Below are 27368 nucleotides of genomic sequence, written 5' to 3' on the forward strand. Positions count from 1 at the left end.
CCGTCCTTTCAGGCCACATTTCAGGTGCCAGAGAATCCCCAAGAAAGTTTTCTTCATTTGGCCGTATCCAAAAATCACAACATATGAGTGACCCAAAGAATACTGACTTCATATCATAAACCAGATATCACAACCAGTTTGTTCTGTAGCAAAAAATACCCCTGTAAATGTCAAGAAAAGGGCAAATTTTTATAGAGCAACAAGACAAAAAAGGAAAACCGTTTTCTTGGCTCTGAAATGGGCCCGTATACTGGGGTTCTGCAATCCCTGAAATTGAACCTAATGTGTTTCATGTGTCTTCACGAAGAAAGGAGTAACAACAAAAAGAAAATCGAAGAAATAGAGAAAGAAGAGAGAGATCCAATAAAGAAGATTATTATATTATTAACATTTTTATTATTACTTACATTGAGTAATCCAGTCATATGTCTTTCATATTTTTTTGGACACGATACCAGAAGACATCAAAAGTGTACGTCAAAGGAAAGTTGGTAAACAGAAAAGGCAGATACCAGTGGAAGTATGAAAGCTACCTTGTTAATTCTCCATTTTAGCCAAAAGTAAAAGAGATAGGAGAAATTGACGATCTTTAGGAAATAAAAGACAGCAAGACAAGTAGCAAATCAAGTGCACAAGTGGTTGGCCAGTCTCCGGACAATGGTAAGGATATGGTTTCTTTCCCTAGCATCAGGGATTTTCTAATAGAAGAATATTGATTCTGGCTAAGGCCAAACTAGTAAGAATGAAGCCAACCATGCATAACTTCTGATTTCTCATCCAGGCAATGCAATCTGTGAGTCCAATGAATTAATTTCCTACATTCCTTTTATAAATCCCCTACCTATTACAGTCATGAAAACCTCCAATATATTCAACATGGCTACAAAGCGAAAATTCTGATCTGCAGTTTGTTGTGTGACTAATTTTCAGATGACTTACTGGATAATAACATAGATCTTATGTTTGATTGTGCAGTGTTTTTATTTTATCATGGCTTTTCTTTTTAGCTATAAAGTTTAGCAAACTGCAGTAAGACAGTGAAATCACTCTCTGTAACATTCATTGAAAATTTCTAACTACCTCTGCTAAGAATTTCCAGTCTTGGTCCAGCTGTCAGCTACAAACTGTAAATTTCTTTATAGAAAGATGATCACACTCTGGGGACTGTTGTGGGGTGGGGGGAGGGGGAGGGATAGCATCGGGAGATATACCTAATGCTAGATGACGAGTTAGTGGGTGCAGTGCACCAGCATGGCACATGTATACATATGTAACTAACCTGCACAATGTGCACATGTACCCTAAAACTTAAAGTATAATTTAAAAAATTAAATAAAAATAAAAAAATAAAAACAAAATTAAAAAAAAAGAAAGATGATTGACAAACCAAATTATCATTTGCTAACATGTAAATAAAGACACAGACTAATTTTCATTGTTTTGAATAAAATTAGTTCTCCTCTTCCAATGAAGTGTTTCATTTGATTTACAAATCTGAAGTTTGAAACAGAAACCTTTCACCACATTAAAATTATTCAACATGTAGGGAAAACCAGCAATCCTTATGCTAATTAATTATAATGCAGTCACAGTGTAGATTGCTACATTACAAAGTAAAATACAGAGCTTGAAATTTTCAAGAAACTTGGTGGGCAATATATGAATCTAATATGAGTATCATAATTATCAGGAAAACTTCCCCCACCGCTCCCCACCCCCCACTATAAAGATGCAGGCCTTTCAAATAATCTGTCAGTAGCATTTTAAACACATTTTTAAAAATGATGTCTTTCAGTGAAACATAAGCACCCCAAACTAAACATGGAAAAAGTGAACTTCTTTTGTTTCCTCAAAAACAAGATTCTAGCACTTTGGGAGGCTGAGGCAGGCGGATTGCTTGGGCCCAGGAGTTTGAGACCAGCTTGGGCAACGTAGCAAAACCCCGACTCTACCAAAAATACAAAAATTAGCTAGGTTAGGTGTGTTGGCACACGCCTCTGATCCCAGATACACAGGAGGTGGAGGTGGGAGGATCACCTGAGCCCAGGGAGGTTGAGGCTGTAGTGAGCCACGAAAAAAAAAATGTTTTTTTTGAGATATAAGAGTCTTCAAATATTTCCACAGAACTTTGTTAAGGTTACATTGTCTTGAGGGGAAAATGCTTAAAAAGTCATGAATATACTTAGGATGATCTGTTATGTGTATATCCATATACACAGATATAGGTACATATATGGCTACATATACATAAACATATACATGTATACAAATACACACAGACACATCTATTTATACACACATTGTACTGTGTTTTGTCCTCTACTTCTCTGTATTTTAGCTTGTCTGGTTTTTGTTACTTGGATTGCTTCTTTTTTTGCATTATTTTATTATTTTTAATAAACGCAATAATTGTACATATTTATGTGATACAGTGTGATATGTGAATACATTTATACAATGTGTAATGATCAAATCAAGGCAATTAGCATATCCGTTTCTCAAATATTTAACATTTCTTCGTGTTGGGCACATTCAAAATTTGTTTTTCTAGCTCTTGTAAAATATACAATAAATTGTTGTAATTGTAGTCACCCTACTGTGCTATAGAACACTAGAACTTGTTCCTTCTACCTGGCTATACTTTTGTATTCATTAACCAACCTTTGGCTATCTCCCTCTCCCTTCTCCCCTATCACATCTCTAGGAACCATTATTCTGCTTCCTACTTCTACGGAATCAACTTTATTAGCTTCCACATATGTGTGAACATGTCATGTTTGTCTTTCTGTATCTGGCTTATTTCACTTAACAGATGTTCTCCAGTCTCATGGATGCTTCCATAAATGACCAAATTTCCTTCTTTTAATGGCTAAATAGTATTCCATTCATTATGTGTATATATCATGTTTTCTAATCCATTCAAATGTTAATGGACACTTAGGTTGATTTCATGTCTCGGCTATTATGAATGGTGTTGCAAAACACATGGGAGTGCAGATATCACTTCGACATATTGATTTCCTTTCCTTTGGATACATACCCAGTGGTGGGATTGCTGAATCATATGGTAGTTATATTTTTAGTTTTTAAGAACTTCCATTCTGTTCTCCATAATGACTAAACTAATTTATATTTGTACCAACAGTGTGTAAAACTTCCTCCTCCACATCCTCACAAGCATTTGTGTTTTTTTGTCTTTTTGAAAATAGCCATTATAACTAGAATAAAATAATATCTCATTGAGGTTTTTATTTGCATTTCTCTGATGATTAGTTATATTGAGCACCTTTTTATATACCTATTGGCCATTTGTATGTCTTCTTTTGAGAGATATCTATACAGTTAATTTGCCCATGTTTTAATCTAATTATTTGTGTTTTTGACTGAGTTCCTTCTATAGTCTGGATATGAATTCCTTGATAAATGAATAGTTTTCAAATATTTTCTCTTATTCTAGAGGTTGTATCGTCAGTCTGTCGATTGTATATTTGTGTATGCTTTTATCAAATCAACATAATGTAAACTAAATGAGATAAAGCTAAAATGGTCATCGCTTGCTTAACATAAAATGCATTATTCATCTAATTTTATTGTTACTATTATATAATACTATAATTTTAATTTTGCCATTGATTATATAGTTGCAATTCTGATGGAAACAGTGAAATCACTTTCTTTTAACTTATTTCAGGCAGATAATTTCATCAATGAGGCTCAATGATCTATCACCAAACATAATAAAAGAAGTTGGATTAAATGAAAGGGATGTGTGCTGAGTTATTTGTTGTCTTCATTTTTGAGAGAATTACCAATCAATTCAGGTGTGTTTATGAGGATTTAGATTTCCTTATATTCATGTAACACCGAAGGTTCCTCAGGACACAGAGAGAAGCCTGTTTCAGTTTGCTGTTCCATAAAATCAGAAAAAAATGAATGACTGAATAGATAGAAAAATGCTAACTCAAGAGCAAAAATCTGTGCCACAATGCTATCTAGATTAAAATAATTTCGCTTTATAATCGTATTGCTCAAATAGTATATAATAAAGAGGAGCAGGAATGAAATTATAGATATTAGGGGATGTCAAACTTATCCTTGCATTCTTATTGTACAAAATTTCCTCAGTTTACATTTAAGCCCACATGTAAAATTACAGCAGAATATTCTGGAAATTGCCCAACAGGTGAGAATAAAATCTATCAGGGAGAGTTTCCAGCGCCTGATCCAATCAATGCAGTGAACCAGCACCATAACTCTACTTCTCTGAATCCCCATTATGAAATCTATAGCAGAAATCATTGTAAGCATATTCTTCAACATGTTTGCCATGCTTGATTATGGGATCTCTGCTTTCTGTACACCACTGATTTATAAATAAGATGTTATAAATTTGTGTATCCAAAGCTTTAGTGTTCAATATGTTTCTTTATCCTGTGCTGTTGATTGACACTGGAAAAGAATGGAATGCCTCCAGTGTGCTCCCAGACAAAGTCCTAGTTGTCTTTGAAAAACGAAAACTACCTTTATTTTTCTCAGAATTTCAGCTAGTGATTTTCAAGGCAGATATTATATTACCTGCTGTTGTGACACTGTTTATAATTTCCTTGTAAAGCTATCAACTAGGATTTGAATTCTGATTTGTTAAAATACAAAATAGAGATTTTAAAATATTTTTTGCATCTTTTTTTCCTTAAGATTTAAATGTTTTTTATTCATTCACCTTAGTTATAAGCTAGAAACATTAAAATATGGTGTCTTCATGGATCTCCTGAGAAGCAAGGCAGTCATTGGGATAAATGCCTATATGAGAAAGCAAGGAGAGAGCGAAAGGTGAACAGAGCTATTGTACTAGGATATAACTTTGACCCCTGTGAAGGAGAGAGAGAGGGAAAGAAGGAAGGTCTTAGGCAGCAGTGCAGTCCTGAGAACATTTCAAGATGTCCAGTAGGGAGTTATCAAGCCCAAGGTGCAAATTAGAGGAGTCCTGAGTCTCCCAGGAGCAGGCCTGACCATTGAATCTGCCCCCTTCTCTGTCTTTGGCTGAAAGCGGCTCATGGAAGTGAATGGGGTGATAGATTTCATAGCATAGGTGCCATGCTTGTTAGCTGTTGGGGAAATACGATTAAAAACAAAGTCTCCTCCCAACCCAGAAAGTCTCTCCACAAATGTAATAGAGAAAGAAAATAGTTTTCTTATTAAATAAATATTAAACCAGAATCTGATATACATTACAGGCAACCTACTAAGAGACTGCAAAGACAGAAAGAGATCTCACCCGTTTTTATATAGCCAATATATGCATATGACCCAATATATACATTTTCTCAAGTTAAGTGATAACTAATCCCCAAGAGAGAGGACTTGGCAGCATTATTTATTACGCATAGTTTATCTTAAATTTACCTGGAAATTGGGGTGGCCATCTGTGTTAGTTAACAGACTTTAAACAAAGGACAAATAAACACAGATCTTTATGTAGGAGATAGTCTTGCCATTTGGAGCCTGGTGGCCATTGAAGTTAGGCTCCTGCTCCCAGCAGAAACTGAGAGATAAGGGTGCTTATTTGTAAAAGAGATGATTAAGCTTCTTTATTTTTAGTGTGTATTTGCCCTTCTGCAGCTAATTGTGCTCCCTCAGGACAGAGATTTCAGAGGCACATTCCTATCACATGCCACAAATGTCTAAAATGACAGTTTATCTTCTTACTCACCTCGCCAATACATATTATGTATAAAGTACCCAAGGTTTAAGTAAATACACAAAATCTGCTTTCTGATACTATATCAGGATCGCTTAGAGTCTGTGGCAGTTTTGAAACATGGCTGCAAACTCTTTGATCCTCTTCCTTTTGAGGCCTAGGGTCTGCAGACCTTCCTCTTAAAACTGAGTGGGCTTGTAACTGCTTTAAACAATGACGTGTGGTGGAAACGACATCATATACTTTCTAAGGCTATCAAGAAAAACTGTATGGCTTTTCCGTTACTCACTGGAAAGTTTCCTCTTACAATCCTGAACCACTTCATAAGAAGTCTGACAAAGTTGAGACCAGCATGCTGTGAGGAAGCTCAAGCCACACGAGGAGGCCACATGTAGGCAATATAGTCAACCATTTCAAATGAGCCCGTACTTCTGATCATCCAAGTCCAGTGATAGACATGAGAGTAAAGGTCTGCTTGGTTATTGCAGCCCCTGCCACTTGAGTCATAGTCCGCTGTCTACATATTCTAAGGTGAAGGTCTAGACATTTTGAAGAAGAGACAAGCCTTCTCATAGTGCCCTGTCTGAATTACTGACCCACAGAATCTGGAAGCATAATAAAGTACTGTTGTTTTACACCCACTAGGGCCTATTGGGGTGGGGGTTGGGGGAGGAGGAACATCAGGAAGAATAGCTAGTAGATGTTGGGCTTAATACCTAGGTGATGGGCTGATCTGTGCATCAGACCACCATGGCACATGTTTACCAATGTAACCGCACATTCTGCACATGTACTTCAGAACTTAAAAGTTGAAGAAAAAATACACAAAATAAAATAAAATAAAATATTGTTGTTTTGTATCTCTGAGTTTTGGACTCAGGGTGTTTTAAAGATCAATGCATAACTAAAATAGAATTATTTAGCACATACATAAGGAAAGTCTTTTACTAGCTTAGTTTTTATTTTCTTAGCATCATTATTTATAGTAGCCAAAAGATAGAAAAAAACCCAAATGTTCATCAATGAATAAATAAATAGACAAAAGGTGGTTTAGTCATGTAATCAAATATTATTTAACTATTAAAGGGAATAAAGTACTGATACGTACAACATGTATGAGTCTTGAAATTATGCTAAGTAAAAGAAACCAATCACAAAAGATCCCATATTATATAATGCCATTCAGTCGAAAGTCCAGAATAGGAAAATATACAGATGCAGGAAGAAGATTAATAGATGCTTAGGCTGGGGTGGGGAGAAAGGTGGGATGATGGGGGAATAGGGAGGTGATATCTAATGGATATGGGGTTTCTTTTTGAAGTGATAAAATGTTCTACAATTGACAGTGGTGATGGTTGCACATGTCTGTGGAATATATTAAAAATCATTTAATTGAACACTAAATGAGTGAATTGTATATTATGTGAACTATATCTCAATTAAAGCATTTAAGGCAAAAACAAGTTACATATGACATTTTTCCTTATAGAATATGTAACATCTGTGTATATTTTTCATAATTTTATTATACCTTGTAGTAACACTATTAGCTCAGTCATCTTTAATTCTGGTGAGGTATAAATAAAATACCAAAAGCTTTACATCATTTCACTTTTGTTGACTATTACTTATTGAGAAACTTTTTACTCTTTGGATGAGACATGATAGGATAGGCTATGCTGTAGCATCTACAATGTAAGTTTCATGAAAGGTTCATTTCTCGGTTCACATTACATGACTAATTGAATTTAAAAATGCAGAGTGAGGTGAGGATAGTTTTCATGTAGTCTCTCAGGAATACAAGCTAGTGGAGTATCTAACACTAAACATGTGTCTTTCAAGTCCCTCACTTAGGAAGAAAAGAGACACGAAGAGCCTTCTTTTACATATGAATATTCAACTGTTCCAAAATGATTAGTTGAAAAGATAATCCTAATCTTTTTTTTTCAGTCTTTAAGTGCTCTTTTCTTTTATTCTCAGCCCCCTTTATTGTTATTATTATTTTCATTTCATTATTATTATACTTTAAGTTCTAGGGTACATGTGCACAACGTGCAGGTTTGTTACATATGTATACATGTGCCATGTTGGTGTGCTGCACCCATTAACTCGTCAGATTTTATGTTTCTTTATCCTGGCTTGATAAAACCCATTGTCTCAGGACTTTTCTTCTAAATAGAAAAGTAGTCTGAAGGCTCGTCCTGATTCATTTTAAGACTGTAGTATTTCTCTTCTGCCAGTTAATATGTTTTCACTTTTTCTATTTTCTTTTTATATCCAATACATTTCAGTATGAAATTTTGTGATGGTCCACTAGTCTGATGTGCACAATTTAGCCAGGAATAAATATTAGTGGATTCAAAATAGGCACTCAAACTATCTGTCCAGATTTTTTAAGTGTTGTTGGTTTTTTTCTTTCTTTTTTTTTTTTTTTCAAATTTCAACTGATGAATGAAAGTAGCTGCCTAGAGAATAATGAGGTGGGTGCCAAACCTGGGTTCATTGAAGGCGTTATAGCACCTGTGCCATGCTATAACTTAGATAAGTGACCTTATCTAAGCCCATGGCTTCAAATGCCACTGAAACTGGTGAATTTATCTTTTAGGAATGGAAGGGCTATAGAGATATTTGATGAAAGAAAACTAAGAGGATTTGTCACCAGAACATCTACCTTTTAAAAGGGGGCTAAAGAAAATTCTCTAGCCAAGAAAAATAAAAAAGAAAGTTTCAAACAAAAAGATTAAAGAAAACACAATGGAAAGGAAGAATGAATAAATTCATCTTCCTTTTCTTCTTCAGTTTGGTAAATGTATTTGACAGTTGAAGTTACAATTATGACATTATCAGCTGTGATTGTAAACTTGATTTCAGTAACATTTGAAGCCATGGGCTTAGACAAGGTCACTTAGGAATAGTGTAGATATCAGGACAAGTAAGACCTCTGAGACAGCCATGTGGGAACTCGACATAGCAAGCAAGCGATGGGGAGCCCCACCCAGTGACTGTCTTCACTCTAGCAGCTCTCAGTGAAGGCTTCTGTATTAGGCCATTCTTGTGTTGCCATAAAGAAATAGAGGGGCCCTGCATGGTGGCTCACACCTGTAATCCCAGCACTTTGAGAGGCAGAGGCGGGCGGATCACGAAGTCAGGAGATTGAGACCATCCTGGCCAACACGGTGAAACCCTGTCTCTACTAAAAATACAAAAAATTAGCCGGGCGTGGTGGCGGGTGCCTGTAGTCCCACCTACTCAGCAGGCAGAGGCAGGAGAATCACTTGAAGCCGGGAGGTGGAGGTTGCAGTGAGCCAAGATCGCGCCACTGCACTCCAGCCTGATGACAGAGCGAGACTCCATCTCAAAAAAAATAAAAAAATAAAAAATAAAGGTAATTAATAAAAGAGATTTAATTAGCTCATAGTTCTGCAGGGTGTACAGGCATGGCACTAGTATCTGATTAGCTTCTGATGAGGCCTCTGGAAGCTTACAATCATGGCAAGAGGCAAAGGGGGAGGAGGCGTGTCACATGGTGAGAGTGGGAGCAAGTAGAGGAGGCGCCACACACATTCAAACAACCAGATCTTGCATGAACTCAGAGCAAGAACTCACTAATCACCGAGAGAATGGTGTTAAACCAGGAGTGTCCAATCTTTTGGCTTCCCTAGGCCACGCCGGAAGAAAAAGAATTGTCTTGGGCCATACAAAAAAATATACTAACGATGGGTGATGAGCTAAAACAAATTGCCAAAAAACTCAATGTTTTAAGAAAGTTTATGAATTTGTATTGGGTCATATTCAAAGCCATTCTGGGCTGCATGCAGAATGCTGGCCATGTGTTGGACAAGCTTCTGCTACACCATTCATGAGGAATCTGCCCCATGATCCAATCACCTCCTACCAGGTGCTATCACAACATCGAGAATCACATTTCAACATGAGGTTTTCAGGGGACAAACATCCAAACCATATCAGCTTCCCTGTGCCAAGCATGGATGGAGCTGAGAGCTTTATATGGGTTACTTACAAAATATACATGTTTTATACAATAATATTAATAGTACAAAATAATTACTTTGTACCAAAAATTAATTGTACAAAATATTAAAATATTTAACATAACATTTGTACAATGTATATAAAAATATAAATATCCCATAAAATTTGATAATAGCATATGCTATTTTATTTCTATAATATAGACACTCTTCAATACTCAGCAACTTTGTTCACATTAGACCACTTTTATTTGTAATTATTGATATGTTGGGTCACAAACCTGCCATTTTACTTTATGATTTCTGCTTATCCGTTTTTTTTTCTTTTTTTGTAATTGTTGTTTTGTACGCCTTGCTTTCATGTGTGTTACTTTAATTTTCTTTTTTTAGAATTCCATTGAGGTTTATCTGTGGTATTTTTGAGTATATCTCTGTGTGCAGACATCTTAGTGGATGCTGTAGGTTTTACAGCACATGTAATAACTTATCATGGTTTAATAGGGTCAAAATTTTAGTACTTTGAAAGATGTACGGAAACCTTATTCCTTGATTCCCTATATGTCTCTTTACCCTCCTCTGTTCCTTATATAGTTGTCTTAAATATTTACCTATATACACTTAAAATCGCATCTGATAATGTCATAATTTTAACTTCAGCTGTCAAATAAATTTACCAAACTGAAGAGGAAAAGGAAGATGAAGTTATTCATTTTTTCCCTTTCCATTGTGTTTTCTTTAATTTTGGTGTTTTAAAGTTTCTTTTTTAATCTTTTTTCTTTTTTTTTTTCCTGGATAGAGAATTTTCTTGAGCCCCTTTTTAAAAGGTAGACCTTCTGGTGACAAATCCTCTCAGCTTTCTTTCATCAAATGTCTTTATAGCCCTTCCATTCCTAAAAGACAAATATACCAGATATAAAAACCAGAATTGAAAGTTATTTTATTTCATCACATAGACAGTGTTGTGCCACTTTTCTATGGCTTTCATCTATTTCTGATGTTTCCTGCTTCCATTTGTATTGTTTTCTCTCCTATAGATGAGCTATTTCCTCTAGCTGCTTTCAAAATTTGTTCTTTCTTTTAATTTTCAGATATTTTACCATGGTATACCTTAGTTTGGATTCTTTGTGTTTGTCTTGGTTAGTTTTATGCACTGAAAGTTTGTGTCCCCTCAAAATTCATATGTAGACATCCTAAATTCAATGTGATGTTATTTGGAGGTTAGGCCTTTGGGAGGTAATTAGGGTTAGATTAAGTCATGAGGGTGGGGCCCTCATGTTGAGATCAGAGGCCTTATAAAAAAAAAAAAGAGAGAGAGAGAGGGAGAAGGAGACAAGAGATATCTTTTTCTTTTCTCCAACATGTGAGGATACAATGAGATGATGTCCATCTATAGCCAAAAAATGTCTTCAGCAGAACTCATCTGTGCTGGCATTCTGATCACGGTCTTCCAGCCTCCAGTATTGTGAGCAACACATTTTTGTTTTTATAAACCACCCATTCTATGGTATTCTGATACAGTAGCCTAAAATGGCTAAGAGATTTTGGGTTTGCTTGAATTTAGGAATCTGTGGGTTTTTGCCTATTGCCAAATTAAGGAAGTTTTCAGTCTTTGAGACCTTTCTCAAAGTTGCCCATTTCTTCTCTCCTTCTGGGACTCTGATAACACAAAAATTAGGCCTTCAGTTATAATACTACAGGTCCCTGAGGCTGTGTTTATAGTTTTTTCCTGCTTACCTTCATGAATTTTTTATGTGGTTATTGTAAGTTTCAGTTCTAAAATGTCCATTCAGTTCTTTCATATATTTTAATTTTTTGGCTGAGATAATTTTTAAATTTGTTTCATATATGTTTGTAAGCAATATACTGGAAGCATTTTTATGATGACTGCTTTAAAATATTTTCTGAATAATTCCAACATCTTTGTCATTTTTGTTCTGGAATCTTCTAATTACCTTTTACATTCAAGTTGAGATTTTTCCTGGTTCTTTGTATACCAAATGATTTCTAAATGAACCAGGACATTTTAGGCATTATGAGACTCTAGAACTTATTTACCTTTTCTGTCTTAGCTAGCTTCCTCAGACACTACTCCAGCAAGGCAAGGGAGTGAGGGAGGGACACTGCATTACTGCCAGGTGATGATAGAAATAAAGGTTTCCTCTCAATCTCTGTTGACACCTAGGCAGGCGGAGGTTCCTCATTACTGCTGGCTGGAGGGTGGATTCTGGGTCACCACTGGGCCTCCACTGATAGCCTGTCTCGGAGGAAGAAGTGACTTGTTACTGTTTCCCACATGGCCTCCACAAGCACCACCTGGTATGGAAAGGAGGGTGCTTCTTCATTGCTGCTTTTAGAGTAGATCCAGCTCCCCATTTGCTCTCCAGTCATATCAAGGTGTGGAAGGAGAGTGAGGGGCTTATTACCACAAGTTGGGGATGAAAGTTCCAACTTCTGCTATTCTGAGATACTATTCTGGAGGAGGGTTGGGACACCTTGTCACAGCCTGGCTGGTATGAAGATCTAAAGATCTAAGCTCTTCACTTGAGGTAATAGTGTTTTCTGTGGTACTTGACTACAGTAGAGTGGTTATTGTCGAAATGTTTTCTGCCTTGGTAGACTATTTCCTTGACCTTTGCCTAAAATAATAGGCTTTTGTTGGGAAATTCTCATATGTGCCTGTTAGTATTTCTATGTTGATGGCATTTTCAGCTAAAAGTCTGCAAATTATAAAGCAGAAAAGAAAACTTAGAGGATTCATCACTATACAATTTATTAAGTCCCTACCACATCTGCCTTGGTCTCTCCAGGTCTGAGTTTTCATATATTTTATATATAATGTTCAGGGTTTATAGTTTTTCTTAGTAGAAGGAATAGGGCAAAATACATTTACTCCATTTTTCTGGAAGCAGAAATTGGTTTACTTTCTGTAAGAAAGCAGTTGGTGAATTTCTGTCTAAATTCTCTGCCTTTTCAAGAGGAACTGGGCTTTACTTCTCAGATAACAACTGAGCAACGATAGACCTACAGGTGGCATTACTCTCTGTATAGGTAGAGAATAGGCTGAATATTAAATGTTAAGGAGCAGAATCATTGGAATTTAAATGAGGAAGGAGACTTAGTTTTTATTCACGTTAACCAGCCACCTGATGACATGCAACAGTGCGTTTGTTCATCAACATACCTTTTAGATGGCCTTTCTGCTTCTTTTTTGAATGGCTTTAATGCTAAAGAAAGCAAGTGTTTATCAAATAATCTATTTTTTAGATAATTCATTATTAGAAGTTAATTCATTATTAGAAAGATAATTTATTATTAGAAGGTAATTCATTATTAGAAAGAACAAAACGAGTCTTTTTTAATAAAAGAATAAATAAATTTAAATGTATTGAACTTTTATTGTTGTATGTCATGTAGGGTAATTTTGTATACATGTTGCATTTTACAAGACTTAAATCGTGTAATTTTATATACATCTTGTAGGGTAATTTTATATACATTTTATAAGGTAATTTTATATATATTATGCATTTAATTCTTGTAAGTAGCCCTCTGCCTTAGCCAGTTCGAGCTGCTATTAACAAAATATCTTATCTTGGGTAATTTATAAATAATATAAATGGATTTGTCATAGCTCTGGAGGCTGGAAAGTTGAAGATTGAGATGGTACCAGATTTGGGGTTGAGTGAGAGCCCATTCCAAACAGACAATTTCTCCTGGCTTCTCTCTCATGAGGCAGAAGTATGAAAGAAACATGAACATTGAGTCCCTACATGTCAAAAGAGATGGAACAGCTCAGCAGCCTTTGGGAGCTTCTTTTTGTAGGGAAATTGATCCCATTCATGAAAGCAGAGTCCACACGACTTAGTCACTTCCCCCAAAGACTCCATCTCTTAATACTATTGCATAGGGAATTAAGTTTCAACATAAATTTATTTTGTAGAGACATAAACATTCAAACTATAGCATTCTGTCCCTGGTCATCCCCCGAAATATATGGTCTTCTCACATACTAAGTACATTTATTTCATCTCCCAAATCCCAAAGTCTTAACTCATTCCAGCATCCACTTTAAAATCTAAATCCAAAGTCTTATCTAAATATCATCAAAATCAGATATGGTGTGGCCAATTTTCTAATATTGAACCATCTTTAACATCCTCATCCTCTTTCAACGTGGTTTATTATTCTTTTAGCATACTGTTCGTTTGTTTATGTACTATTGAATAGTTTCCCTAACAGAGTATCCTTGCTGTCCTATATATTTTGTTTAATGAAACTCAGAATGAATTCAGAAACTTGTTGTTTCCTGTACTTAAAAAATCTAAAAAAGAATTATGTGCTTTTTAATGATAAAGATTAGATATTAAAATTTTCTGTATTCAGCGACATTGGAGGTGATAATGAGAGGTAGCTGGAGACAGTTACATATCAAATTCTTTTGCTTCTTAGGGTTATTTTCTATTCAACTTTGCCTCAGCAACTTGAGTTAAATTTGGTAGTCTATATTATCTGACAATAATACTGATATTGCTGGAATTTTTACAATCAGAACAGAGTTTTACTCAAATTTCTTGCCCTTTAAAGTACATTATGCTGCACCCTTTATGAAATCCACTCAAGTTTTTAAAAAGAATGGTGAACGACTTAGGGAGGAAGAGAGCTGAGCAATGAAAAAAGAGGAGAAAAGAGCATAGTGAGTTTTATAGAGAAGAGATCTAGAACTACATTTATGCCCCTAGAAACCAGGATTAATAGTTTTGGAAATTTTAAGAATTCCCCAGCACTTGCAACTCCCTCTCATTTGTTATATATTCCTTGTTTTCCTAGAGTTACAAGAATATCAATGAAAGATGTAAAAATAATTTTAAGAATTTGCATTTGTGCTATGCAATCTAGGACAGAAGGGGAACAATGGAACTCTTTCTCCTTGGCAGCTGGCTTTATTAAGATAAAGGAGGAGGGAAGCCTGCTGGAAGCATCAATGAGCAAGAGTCCCAGATATTCTTAGATTGTATTAATGGCCCTCAAATTCTAGACTCAGAAACACCCACAAAGAGAAGCAACAATCAGAAATTGCATGCTATTAATATTTTATTGGTATACTGAAGAAAGAGTTATGACCACATTATTTCAATGTCATGGCTTTCTGAAGGAAGTTATCTTCTTATTTATTTTCTGAAACAAAAAAAAAAACCAAGGAAATTTATACACAACATACAACATGGCAAAACTTATCTAATTCCTTGATGATATTACTGAAGTAAATTATTGCTTTCAAGATTAAGAAAACAGATTTTTTTATGGTGTTTATGTTTTGGTTACTGTTCAAAACATTCAAGGTTATATTTATGAAAATGACTGCAACTTGAACCTGTAGTAGTGAAAAACTAATACAAGCCTACATATCAATTAACAGTGGTTGACTGAGGAAATCATGGTACAGTCACACAAGAGAATAGTATACAATTGTAACAACAAAAGAAAAATGTACAAATAAATCACCAAGAAGATCTATAGGTCTCCGTGAAATGATAAAGTTGTCTAAGACATGTATTATTTGAAATAAGCAAATACAGATCTGCATATAAAATAATATGTCATTTGTGGGAAAAATAATGACGTATGCTTATATACATATAAATATTTCCAGGAGGATGTTCAAAAAATTAAGGGTGGTGACTTTTGGTGAAGGGTGTGGGTAAGTAGGATAAGGCGTCACTTTAAGATTTAGCTTCATACCATTCTGTTCAGTTAGATTTTTTTTTCCTTGAGCATGTACTAATTTCAAAATAAGTATTTTAAAAATTAAATAAGATATAAGAGCATCAAGTTCAAGTATCATTTAGCAGGGACACTGGACCTGAGAGGCTAGTGTGAGGCAGGACTGAGCAAAGAGTCCTCTGGCGGAAACCTGAGAGAAACCTGAGATGGAGAGTCCTTGGGTTTGAGAAGGCAGACTCAAAGACAGGAGGCAGAGCACCAAAGGGAGAGCACACCCCACTTCCTCATTACCAACTCATTTTAATGAGACAAGTCATCTTAAGAAAAAAGTTGGGGAGGTCAGTATTTCAAAAGATAAGAATTCTTTGAACCACTTGTTAAAAATACAAGGACTTGCAACCTTATCCAAGAATATCTGAATACAAATCTTTAGAAATGGGGTCCAGGATTATGTAATTTCAACATATTTCCAATTGATTTGTGAACACGATAAAGTTTGGGAATGGTAGCAGTTTGGGCATTTAATGGAGAATGAACTGGAATCATACCTGCCACTGAATTCTAGATTACCAGAGTGGTTGCTCCTGGGGATGTCTTGCTGGTCTGTCCCTCTGGAAGAATGATGATGCTTCCTGCAGGCTGACAGAAGGAAATCGGGGTAGAGAGAGTTGACGGTGTCCTCGTCGGGGTGGTCGTTGCTGATTTTGAAAAGGAGGTGGGGGAGGATGGCGGTGATGGCCTCCTGGTTTTGGTGGTCTCTGCTGAGGACCATCATCTTGGTTACCACTATCACCAGGGGGTCTAGGTAGGAGTCCTTCAGGAGGAGGTCTCTGGGGTCCCTGATCTGGTCTCTGACTTGAGTCCTCTACATCTGTGTGAGTAATTAATGGACAAGAATGCATGAGCTCAGTGAAGAAAAACTCTCCTCTCTTTATACTTCTCTCACCTTACCACACAGCCCTGTTCTCCCCAAACCTGCTGCTTGACTGTCAACTTCTTTTGTGCCCACTGTTTTTTTTTTCTTTTTATGCAGCTCTCAACTTAATCCATGTAAGAGTGATATGGAAAGTCTCATTTATTTGCTCCTGTGACAAGTATGTTTCCTTAAATGAAAAGAGGGGTTCTTGCATATCTTAGAGTTGCCAGAGGATGTCTCCAAGGACAGAAAAAAAAAAAAAAGCAAAAGCATTATAGCTTTCAGTTATGTTACTGGTTATTTTTTATTTTTATTTTTTGGTTGCTGTAATGACTTACAAACTGTGACTCCATCTCTGGGCACCTAAGCCCTATGTGGAAACTAGAGCTGATTTCCCAGGCTCCTGGAACCAAGTAGAGAAATACTAAGAGACAGAAGAGAAAGACAATGTGAAAGCCTGCACATGATCACTAAACAGCTGTGGCAACTATTTATCATCTGTAGTGACACAGCTGAGTGGGTCAACACAGAGAAAAGACATTCATGCAGTGATTTTTTTGTTTTGTTTTGTGTTACTCCCTGAAGCCACATAACCGTGCGGGGGAACACTGGGGGAAGAAAGAAGCAGTTAAGGATGGAGGAGTCAGAATGAGAACACTTCTCATTTGTTCATCATCTCTCAGCAGTCATTCCAGCCTGGGAAAAAAGCCTGCCCACTCCTATTGTCCTCAAAGCCAGGCATCTCTGTATTCAAGTTGGTGGCCTGGCTCATGGTCCCCAGAATCAAAGATGGGTAAGAATTGCCTATATATTTAGGGGCACTAATATTAATCAATGCCTGACCCCTCTTACCACCTCCTCCCAAAAAAATGATGAGAAGAAGACACTGAAGGAAACTAAAAAGAAATTCTAGTGGAAAAAGAAAGAAAAGAATTGGATTGAGGATCATTGGGATTTACCTGGTATGGTGAAAGTAAAGTCTTCATAGTTCACATCTAGGAAAAGAAGCACAGGATGAAGTGAACATTACCTCATAAATCTTTCAGGGCTCATAGTGGTCTATAGGGAAAGGGGTCTTCTGGCCACACCCTGTGCATCCCCTAAGTTACCTCATCAACCATGTTCTGTGAAGCTGCTGGAAGGGGAGGAAGATGTTAGGGGAGGCAGGATTGTTACTATCGCTGAGCATCAACCACGAATTCAATAGAAGAGTCCCTTTTTGTCATCCTTAGGATCCCTCAAACCCTAATGCTAATTTAGGCACACTTCTCTGGGTATTTTCATGTCATATTTTAGATCTTTACCTTCTTCCTTCTTTAAATATTTTGATCATATTCACAAGCTTGCCCAAGAGGAGCAACCAGGAGTAAATATTTGGATATAATCTTACACATGCTGCCTGCAACATATTGAAATTTTAAATGTGATTGGAAGAAAAATGGGAATTTGGGGACCTGATATTTCTATACCACTATGTAGAAAGACACAAATGTATTATCCAGTCCTCTATGTCTGACAGTACTCTGATGTTTGTTTATCTCTTTCATTGATTCTGCATCCCCTGTACAGCAAGGACACCATCATCGCTGTCCACTGAGATTACTGTAGCATCTTCATAGCTGGACTTCCCTGGATCAGTCTTGCATTCTCCACTGCATCCTTCACAGCACAGCCAGGTCTTTCTAAAAATACAAATCTTACTTTGTCATTCCTCTAATTGAAATTCTCTATTGGGTTCCAAGTGTATATCAAATAAAGTATAAGGCCTTGGCATGGAATGAGGGCACAACAGATGTCATCCTTGGAATGAGAGCTCCAAAGCCCTACCCTTCTTCTCAACCTCCTTCCTCCCCTCCTGCTCTTCCGCTGCAGTGGTGTAGGGTGAACCCCTGAGGCCCTAGAAGAGTCATGGCCCCTCATCCCACTCCCCATCTCCTTTTTTAAAAAAATAATTTTTTTACCATTATCTGTGCTCTGAGCTGAGCTCAGAGCCAGAAGGACCACTGAGAGCAGGACCAGCAGCATCTTGAAGGAGGCTCTGGAGTTGCTCCCAACTCTGCGTTGAGAGAAACATGGCAGCTCCCTTTATAAACATGAGCAGAACAATGGCACCTTTGAGCTCCATACTGGGTGGACCTCACCACCTGAAAGATTAGGTTTTGCTTTCCTCTCATAAAGTTGAATGCGTCTCTTATTACTTTTTGGGATTTTAGCCCAGCAGGATGTGGTGGTAGGATGTGGTTAGGTACAAACTGTGACTTGAGCATAGTTTCTGAAGAAACAGTATCCAAGCAATCAGCACAAATACTACAATTGAAGTTTGGTCATCATTTGATTTTCAATTGGGTTAGACAGTTAGTCTTTCCCCTTCATTGGTTGTCTGTGTGCACACGTGCTTACGTTTGTATATGTTTGTCAGCAGTGATCTTATAGCCAGAAGTGAAAATGATTAATATCTCTAGCTATTAGTGTAGCATAAATTCCATTTTTATAGCATATATACCTATATGGATGATATGTAGCTTAATTTCATAATAATATAGAGATCATTTCTGTTTAATGTTGAGTTGTGTGAGGACAACACACACTTGGGCACACGTGGATGACAGAAGTTTTACCCTCAGGCTACTCTGGCCCAAAGAGATTAAGATTCTCCTAATCTAGCATTAACCAGAGATACTTTATTGTTGTAGAACACAGGTATTAAAACATTCTATCTTTATTAATACCCTGGAGGTTAGTAAGGCAAAATTGGCCACAGAAAGCACCATTAGATTTCTGCATCAGAACAGTGTGAATACACAGTTCCTTGAACAAGCCATGCTATTTTATGTCCCTAAGACTTCTTCCATGATCTTTCTCTTTTCTAGAATGTTCTATATGATTCAGTTTAGGTCTTACTTCTTGTACCAAATATTTTAATCACACTGGTTATTGAGTGGACACAATAATACAATCTAATTAGATAGTATGATAGCCTGTTGAAAGCCTCAAGTATTACATTGATTTTCTATTTTTTAATTAGTTTCCATTCTATTTGCTTCTCAGATTGCCTTTACCAAAGATTATTTTCTCTGCAATATTCTTATACTCATTCTTCTTCACTCTTGTGCTGAACCTTACTTGTTGATATGTTATATTGTGAATCAATCCTCCCTATGTCTATGTTTTATATCTTACTGCTTTCTTCATGCGTTCTGGGAGAAATCTTTATTTGATTTTCTAAACAAGGTTCTGTACTTCTCTTTGCTTGCTTTCTTCTTTTTTGTTTTTAAAATTTGGCACCAAGGTTTTGTGTTTCTGAAAAGTTTGGTAGGGTCCTGAGTTGGTAGCTTAATCTTCACCTGCTGATTTTTCTGTCCTATCTAGTAGTTTTCTGCTTATATTTTCATGGAACCCCTAGATCAATCAGTATCACCAGCTGCCACTTTTCATTACAGGCATTGTATAGGTCTCGTATTATTGTTACATTTTTGTACAGGGCTGGTGATAATTTGAGGATAGCTTGGTTGGAAGTATGACAGGGTCGGGGGAATGTGACTGGAAATCTTAAAGACAGGCCTCTTGACCATTGTGGATAAGTGGATCCTGTGCTGTGCAGATGAAGGTCTGGTCTGGCAATTCTGAAGGGTTGGAGGTAATATTACAGGAAGATTTTCTAATCAATGGTGTTTGTTATGGATAACTTTACTTTGGCAAAGTGACCAAAAAATAAATATTTTCTCTGGCATAATTATGGACATATTTTGAAGGTGAAATATATTATGAGTTAGCAATTCTTCTCTATGTGGGAAGCAGAAGAGTTCTAGCTGTGCTTTAGGGTTTTATGGGTGAGAGAGAGTAGTTGTTTGGGCCTACAGACCCAGCTGTGTTACTAGGATTGCTGCCTCTGATTTCACCAGACACTGTTTAACATGGGAAGTGGAGATAAGTAGTTCTGCCTAGGTGGCTTATGGTAGACCATCAGGTAGGAAAGGAAGGTCAGCGAGAAGGAGCAGAGGGGCGTGCCATGCAGACATGATTCACTGTGTGGGTGGCTGAGGAAACTGCAGTCCTGGTGGAAGGCAGGCTTCTCCTTGGCTGGTGAGTGCAGGAAGACAACAGGTGATGCCTGCAAATATCACTCAGCTCAGACCCTTACCCTGACATTCTCCAGTGTAAGCAATGAGAGAAAGAGATTAATGTATCAGGAAATAATAAACATCAGCTATGATCTCACCACACACAACCACAACAGAGGTGACGGAGGAGCTGAAACAGACACTGTCAGTGAGTGAGGGTGGGGTCAAATCGAGAAGCAGGACTGCAGCAGGAGCTTAGGCACTTGTAGGTGAGTGGACACTCTCAGCAATCCACTTGCCTTTTACAACAGATGAAAACTTAACATACCCCTAATATAATTCTTGATTTCTACTTCCTAAAACCTGCTCTCCTTCATACTAATTTGTTATGGCTACCCTAAAAAAATGCCCCACAAGTGGCTTAAACAACAGAAATTTACTTTCTCATAGTTCTGGAGCTTGAAGTACAAGATTAAGGTGTCAACAGGTTTGGTGTCTTCTGAGGCCCTGTCTCCTTCACTTCTAGATGGCCGGTTCTTGCTGTATCTTCACATGGGGTTTTATCTGTAGACGTGCATCCCTGGTACCCCTCTGTGGTCTGTGCTAATGTTCTTTTCTTATGAGGACAGGTGTCAGATGGGATTAGCACCAACCCTATCAGCTTCATTTTAACCTAATCACCTCTTTAAAGGCCATGCTGCAAATAGAGTCACATTCAGTGGTATCGGGGGTAAGGGATTCAACATGAGAGTTTGGAGGGAACACAATTTAGCTGATAACACCTCACAATCTTTTCTCAGTTCATGACATTTGTTTCACTCAACCATTCAAAAACATAAGTGTCACTCTTGATTGTTTAGTCTCCTCCGTGTACTGCCCTTAGCAAATCCAATTGGTTCTACCTTCAAAAGATATCCCATATATGATCAGTTTCATAATCTCTATCAGAAGGTCCTGAGTCAAGCCATGATTCTCCCTCCTGGAGGACTTTCAACAGTCTCCAGCTGATCTTGGTGACATTCCTGCCCCTCACCACATCCCAAGCAGTTCTCCTTACAACAGCCAGAGTGATCTTTTAAAAATAGAATTTAGAACATCAGCAAGATGGCTGACTAGAGTTCCCTGGCACTCATTTCCCCACAAAAAGAAATCAAGAAAACAAACAATTTTATGTCAGCCAGTGTGATTTAAAAAGTATGCTGGAGACCACCAGGGGAACAGAAACACCTCTGTGAAGTACAGAAACTCAATATAGCATCCTGCCTCTGACATACTCTCTCTTCAGTCAAGGTTGGCTCAGGGTCATCAGTAACTCCATTCTACAGGAAAAAGTAAGCTGTAGTTCCCCAGTGGTCCACATTGCCATAAAAAATGTCAACAATCTTTGCCCCACTGTTCTCACTGGCACAAAAACCAGTCTGGAGAGCAGTTGGGATTTCCAAACTGCATTGCCTTACATAGTAAGAGACCACCTTGAGCACCCTCTGCCCCTGCAATGTAAGGTGCTATGGCTCAGTGCCATCTCCAAACTGAACCTACATAGAGAGTGTGTCTTGCTTTGAGCATCAGTAGCACCTGGCTCTCTATCACTTGAGGCCCCACCATCATTCCAACACATTCATACAGGTATCTGCAGCACCATGACCCTAGCTTCCCAGAGCCTAGCCAGATAAACTAATCAAGACCCCGGCATCCGAACCCATGTGGTGCACCACCAATCCAGGGAAGAAGTGAACAGCAGGGAAGCCACCCATCTGCCTACTAGCCACGACACCCACATGCACCCACACCTCACAACCAGCTAGTCTGCTGAGCCTGTGCATGCTGGTGCCCAGCCTGAAAACTGGTCCTGTGGTGGGCCCACCCCCAGGACTACAGCCTGCTTGGGCCACAACAACTCTGAGTTTGTGCATGGTCTAATAATTGGTCCTGCAGTGACCCTGCCTCCTCAGATGGGACTCTGCAGAGATGGATGGCCCTGCTACACCTGTGAGCACTGACAGCAACCCGCCCACCCAGCAGGAAGACAGCAGTGCATGTAAGTGCACACACCTTGAGAAAAGGCTCTTCCCACTGCTGCTGGTGGCACAGTTGCTGCTGTCACCACCGGGGGCTGCAGCAGTGAAATGCCAGTTGGACCCAGCAAAGTGGCAGGATCCTCAGCATTCTAGCATATGCAGTGTTCTGCACCTCAGGCACTGGAAAGGCTGTGAACCAGACATAGGGAGCCAAAGCACATGCTTTCCAGAACCAGAGAGCTGCCTCCCTGTGGCTGCTGACACAGACAGCAATGTCACCCCCGCAACACAGCAGCAGAGATGCTGCACACTTGCATGCAACCTGGGGACAGGCCCTCTCCATCTGCTGCTGAGTCTGCTGATGCAGCTGGGGGCCAGAGCATGTGCCACTGGCAGTGACCTGACTTCCACCAGCAGCAGAGCCACTGTGAACTTGCACGTACCCTGAGGACTGGCTTATGCTGCTGCCAGAAGCCAAAGTGTGCTCCACATTGCCAGAGAGCTGCCTGCTAGTGGCTGCTGCCACTGACAATAACCACACCCTGCCCTAGCAGCACAGCTGCAGCAAATTTGCATGTGCCTCGAGGACAGGCTTTCTTCAGGTATTGCTCCTGCTATTGGGAGATCCAAGGATTACCCCATCCAACTTACCACAGCCAACATCCATGTACATAACTAGGGGGACTGAGGACAGGCCTGCCAAGCCTGGTTCCATCATCCCAGTGCCCAGGCACACTACCCAGGGGTGTGGCAATCATCCTGCTTTGTCCACCACCACTGGCATTTGCACATTCCTTTAGGAGGACTGAGAATGGGCCCAACCAGCCTGACAGTAGCACTGTAGCCAGAAACAATATGCATGCAACATCTGAAGGTCTGGAGACTGGCCCCCAGCCCATCACAACCACCTCTAACACCAGAGCTTGCAACTTGAGAATCTGAGGGTTGTCCAACCAAGCTACAGAAATTGCCCATGGCAAGCACATTCCCAGAGGCCTAAAGGCCCACCCACCCTTTCAGCCTACCATTGCAACTGCTAGTACCCAGGTAAGCTACTTAAAGCCCCCAGAATTGTTCTGCTTAAAGCTGCTAAAACTGGTACAAACATATGTTGCCTAGGTGCCAAATATAGGCACTCTCAGCCCACTGTTACCCCTACTGGGGCCCAAGAACTGGCCCACCTAAAATCTCTGTCCCCAGGAAAACCTCACTACAGCCTCCAATCACAACTACAGCCTAAGCCACTGAGGAAGTCACAGACACCACTTATGCTGTTAATAGCTGAAGGAATAATATAAGACCACCTTACTGTACACACACAGAATCAAAGCCAAAGTGTCCTACTGAATCAACACCACAGATACATCTTCAGAAAGAAAAGTTAATGTTTTGGATCTATGTCACTGCCCAAATCTCATGTTGAATTATAATCTCCAATGTTGGGGGAGGGGCTTCATTGGAGGTAATTGGATCATGGGGGTGGATCCTTCATGAATGGTTTAGCACCATCCCCTGCGTACTATTCTTATGACAATGAGTGAGTTCTCATGAGATTTGCTTGTTTAAAAGTGTGTGTCACCTCCCCCCCACCCAGTCCTTCTCCTGCTATGTAAGATGCCTGCTCCTGCTTTGCCATTTGCCATGAGCAAAAGCTCCCTGAGGCCTCCCCAGAAGCAGATGTCACTATGCTTCCTGTACAACCTATGAAACTGTGAGCCAATTAAACCTCTTTTCTTCATAAATTACCCACTCTCAGGTACTTCTTTATAGCAATGTGAGAATGAACTGATACAGAAAATTGGTACCGAAGAGTAGGGCATTGCTATAAAGATACTAAAAATGTGGAAGCGATTTTGGAGATGGGTAATGAGCAGAGGTTAGAAGAGTTTGGAGGACTCAGAAGACAGGAAGATAAGGGAAAATTTGGAACTTCCTAAAAACTTGTAAATTGTGACCAAAATGCTAATACTGATATGGAAAATGAAGTCTGGGCTGAGGAGATCTCAGATAAAAATAAGGAACTTATTGGGAACAACTGGAGCAGTCACTTTTGTTATGCTTTAGCACAGAGCCTGGGTGCATTGTTCCCCTCCTTTAGGGACTTGTGGAACTTTGAACTTGTGAGTGATGATTTAGGGTATCTGGTGGAAGAAATTTCTAAGCAGCAAAGTGTTCAAAATATGACCTGGCTGCTTCTAACAACCTAAGCTCATATGCCTAAGCAAAGAAATGAGCTAAAACTCAAATTTGTATTAAAAAGGGAAGCAGAGTGTAAAAGTTTGGAAAACTTGCAGCCTGGCCATGTGGTAGAAAAAAAATTCCCATTTTCTAGAGAAGAATTTACCCTAGCTGCAGAAATTTGCATGAGTAAAGAATAACCAAATGTTAACAGCCAAGACAATGGGAGAAAGACATTGAAGGCATTTCAGAGACTTTCGTAGCCACACCCACATCACAGGCCTGGAGTCCTAGGAGGGCAGAATGGTTTCCTGGTCCAGGCGCAGGGCCCCACTGACCTGCACAGCCTCCAAACACTGTTTCCTGCATCCCAGCTGCTCCAGCTCCAGCTGTGGCTCAAAGGGGTCCAGCTGCAACTTGGGCTGCTGCTTCAGAGGATGCCAGCCATAAGCTTTGGCAGCTTCCATGTGGTGTTAAGTCTGTGAGTGTGCAGAGTGCAAGAGTTGAGGTTTGGGAGCCTCTCTTTTGATTTCAGAGGATCTACAGAAAAGCCTAAATGTCCAGGCAGAAGCCTGCTGCAGAGGCAGTGCCCTCACAGAGAACCTCTACTAGGGCAGTGCAAAGGGAAAATGTGGAGTTGGAACCCCTACACAGAGTCCCCACTGGGGCACTGCCTAGTGGAGCTGTGAGAAGAGAGCTGTCATCATGCAGACCCCAGAATGACAGATCCTCTGGCAGCTTGCACCATGCACCTGGAAAAGCTGCAGGCACTCAATGTCAGCCCTTGAGAGAAGCTGTGGGAAATGAACCCTGCAAAGCTACAGGGGTGGAACTGAAAAGGCCTTGGGAACCCACCCCTTCCATCAGTATGCCTGGTTGTGAAACATAGAAAGTCAAATGAGGTTATTTTGCAGCTTTAAGATTTAATGACTTCCCTGCTGGTTTCAGATTTGCATGGGGTCTGTAGCCCCTTTCTTTTTACAGCTTTCTCTTTTTTGGAACAGGAGTGTTTACCCAATGCTTGTACTCCCCTTGTATCTTGGAAGTAACTGTTTTTTGAATTTACAGGCTCATAGGTGAAAGAGACTAGCCTTGTCTGAGATCAGCCTTTGGACTTTCGACTTTTGAGCTAATGCTGAAATGATTTAAGACTTTGGGGGACTCTTGGGAAGGCATGATTGTATTTTGAAATGTGAGAAGGACATGAGATTTGGGAGTAGTGATGGGCTGAATGACATGGTTTGGATCTGTGTCCCCACCCAAATCTCATGTTGAATTGTAATCCCCAGTGTTGGGGAAGACTGGCATGTTGGGAGGTGACTGGATCATGAGGGCAGATTCTTCATAACTGGTTTAGTACTATTCTCTCACTGCTGTTCTCATGATGGTGAGTAAGTTCTCATGAGATCTTGTTGTTTAAAAGTGTGTTGCATCTCGCCCCCACTTGGTCCTGATCCTGCCATGTAAGACTCCTGCTCCAGCTTTGCCTTTTGCCACAAGTAAAAGCTCCTTAAGGTTTCCCCAGAAGCATATGCTTCTATGCTTCCTGTACAGCCTGCGGAACCATGAGCCAATTAAACCTTTTTTTGAAAAATAAATTACTCACTCTCAGGTATTTCTTTATAGCAATGTGAGAATGGACTGATACAAAAATCTTCCCCTATGAAAGCCAATTTAAAAAACAGAAGAAGCAACTATTTCACCAGATGCGCAGACATCAATGTAAGGACACAGGAAACATGAAAAAGCAAGAAAATATGACACCTCCAAATCAACACAATACTCCTCCAGCAGTAGATTCCAATGAAAAAGAAATTTATGTAATGTTGGGGAAAATATTTAAAAAATGATACTAATGGAGCTCAGTGAGATAGAAGAGAACACAGGTAAAAAATAGAAAGAAACCAGAAAACCATTTCAGGATATTAAAGAGAAATTCAACAATGAAATGGATATCATAAAAAAGAATCAAACAGAAACGCTGGAGATAAATAAATCAATAAATGAAAGAAAAATACATCTGAAAGCTTCAAAAATAGAATAGGTCAGTGAGAAGAAAGAATATCAGAACTTGAAAACAAATATTTTAAATAACCCAGTCAGACAAAAAAAGAGGGATAAAATGTGAAAAAGATGAACAAATCCTACATGACATATGGGATGCCATAAAGCAACCAAATTTTTGAATTTGGGTTTTTCCCAAAGGCAAAATGAAAGGCAAAAACATAAAAAACCTATATAATGAAATAATAGAAGAAAACCTCTCAAGTCTAGCAAGAGAGTTAAACACCTAGATACAGGAAGCTTAGATAGATACAACCCAAAAATATTTTCTTCATGTCACATTATACTCAAACTGTCAAAAGTCAAAGAGAAAAACACTATAGAAGTGGCAGAGCAATATGGTGGAATAGAAGGCTCCACCAATCATCCCACCCACAGGAACACCAAATTTAACAACTGCCTACATAATCAAAGCACTTCCATAAGAACCAAAAATCAGGTGATCACTCAAAGTACCTGCTTTTAACTTCATATTACTGAAAGAGGTACTGAAGAGGGTAGGAAAGACAGTCTTGAATTGCCATCGCCACCCTTGTCTTAACCCAGCAGCAACTACATAGAATGGAGAATCTGTAGACTTGGGGAGGGAAAGTGTGGTGATTTTGAAACTTCGCATTGAAATCAGTGCTGCCTTGTGACAATGGAAGGCAAAACCGGGGTGAACTCAGCTGATGTCCACCCACAGAGGGAGCATATAGACCAGCCCTAGCCAGAAGAGAA

At 38.9% G+C, this 27368-nt stretch overlaps 1 protein-coding gene, 1 long non-coding RNA gene and 1 pseudogene across 3 annotated transcripts in view; all 3 read right to left on the reverse strand.

Moving 5' to 3' along the window:
• Positions 1 to 819, reverse strand: LOC100420580 (taste 2 receptor member 7 pseudogene; annotated as a pseudogene).
• On the reverse strand, positions 14764 to 18390 carry PRR4 (proline rich 4). Of its 2 annotated transcripts, none has more exons than NM_001098538.3 (4): positions 18289 to 18390; positions 17287 to 17322; positions 15960 to 16050; positions 14764 to 14865 (listed from the first exon to the last, which is right to left on the reverse strand). In NM_001098538.3, exons 1-4 carry the CDS (start codon positions 18350 to 18352, stop codon positions 14859 to 14861), a joined length of 198 nt encoding a protein of 65 aa, NP_001092008.2. In that variant the 5' UTR covers positions 18353 to 18390; the 3' UTR covers positions 14764 to 14858. The 2 variants fall into 2 exon arrangements, with proteins under 2 accessions (NP_001092008.2, NP_009175.2); NM_007244.3 differs by having other exon boundaries at positions 15960 to 16282.
• Positions 14764 to 27368, reverse strand: part of PRH1-PRR4 (PRH1-PRR4 readthrough) — a 325777-nt gene continuing 313172 nt past the window's right edge. The window contains exons 8-10 of the long non-coding RNA NR_037918.2: positions 17287 to 17322; positions 15960 to 16282; positions 14764 to 14865 (exon numbers count right to left, since the gene is read on the reverse strand). This is a non-coding gene — a long non-coding RNA (PRH1-PRR4 readthrough). The remainder of the gene's footprint in view (positions 14866 to 15959; positions 16283 to 17286; positions 17323 to 27368) is intronic.

The sequence above is a fragment of the Homo sapiens genome, chromosome 12 (assembly GCF_000001405.40).
Source record: "Homo sapiens chromosome 12, GRCh38.p14 Primary Assembly".
NCBI lineage: Eukaryota > Metazoa > Chordata > Mammalia > Primates > Hominidae > Homo > Homo sapiens.

Coding starts and splice junctions, on each gene's coding strand:
- PRR4 (NM_007244.3), bottom strand. CDS start 18,352: ATGCTGCTGGTCCTGCTCTCAGTGGTCCTTCTGGCTCTGAGCTCAGCT. Junction 17,323..18,288: donor AGCTCAGAGCACAGATAATG/GTAAAAAAATTA, acceptor TTCTTTTCCTAG/ATGTGAACTATGAAGACTTT. Junction 16,283..17,286: donor CTTTACTTTCACCATACCAG/GTAAATCCCAAT, acceptor TTACTCACACAG/ATGTAGAGGACTCAAGTCAG.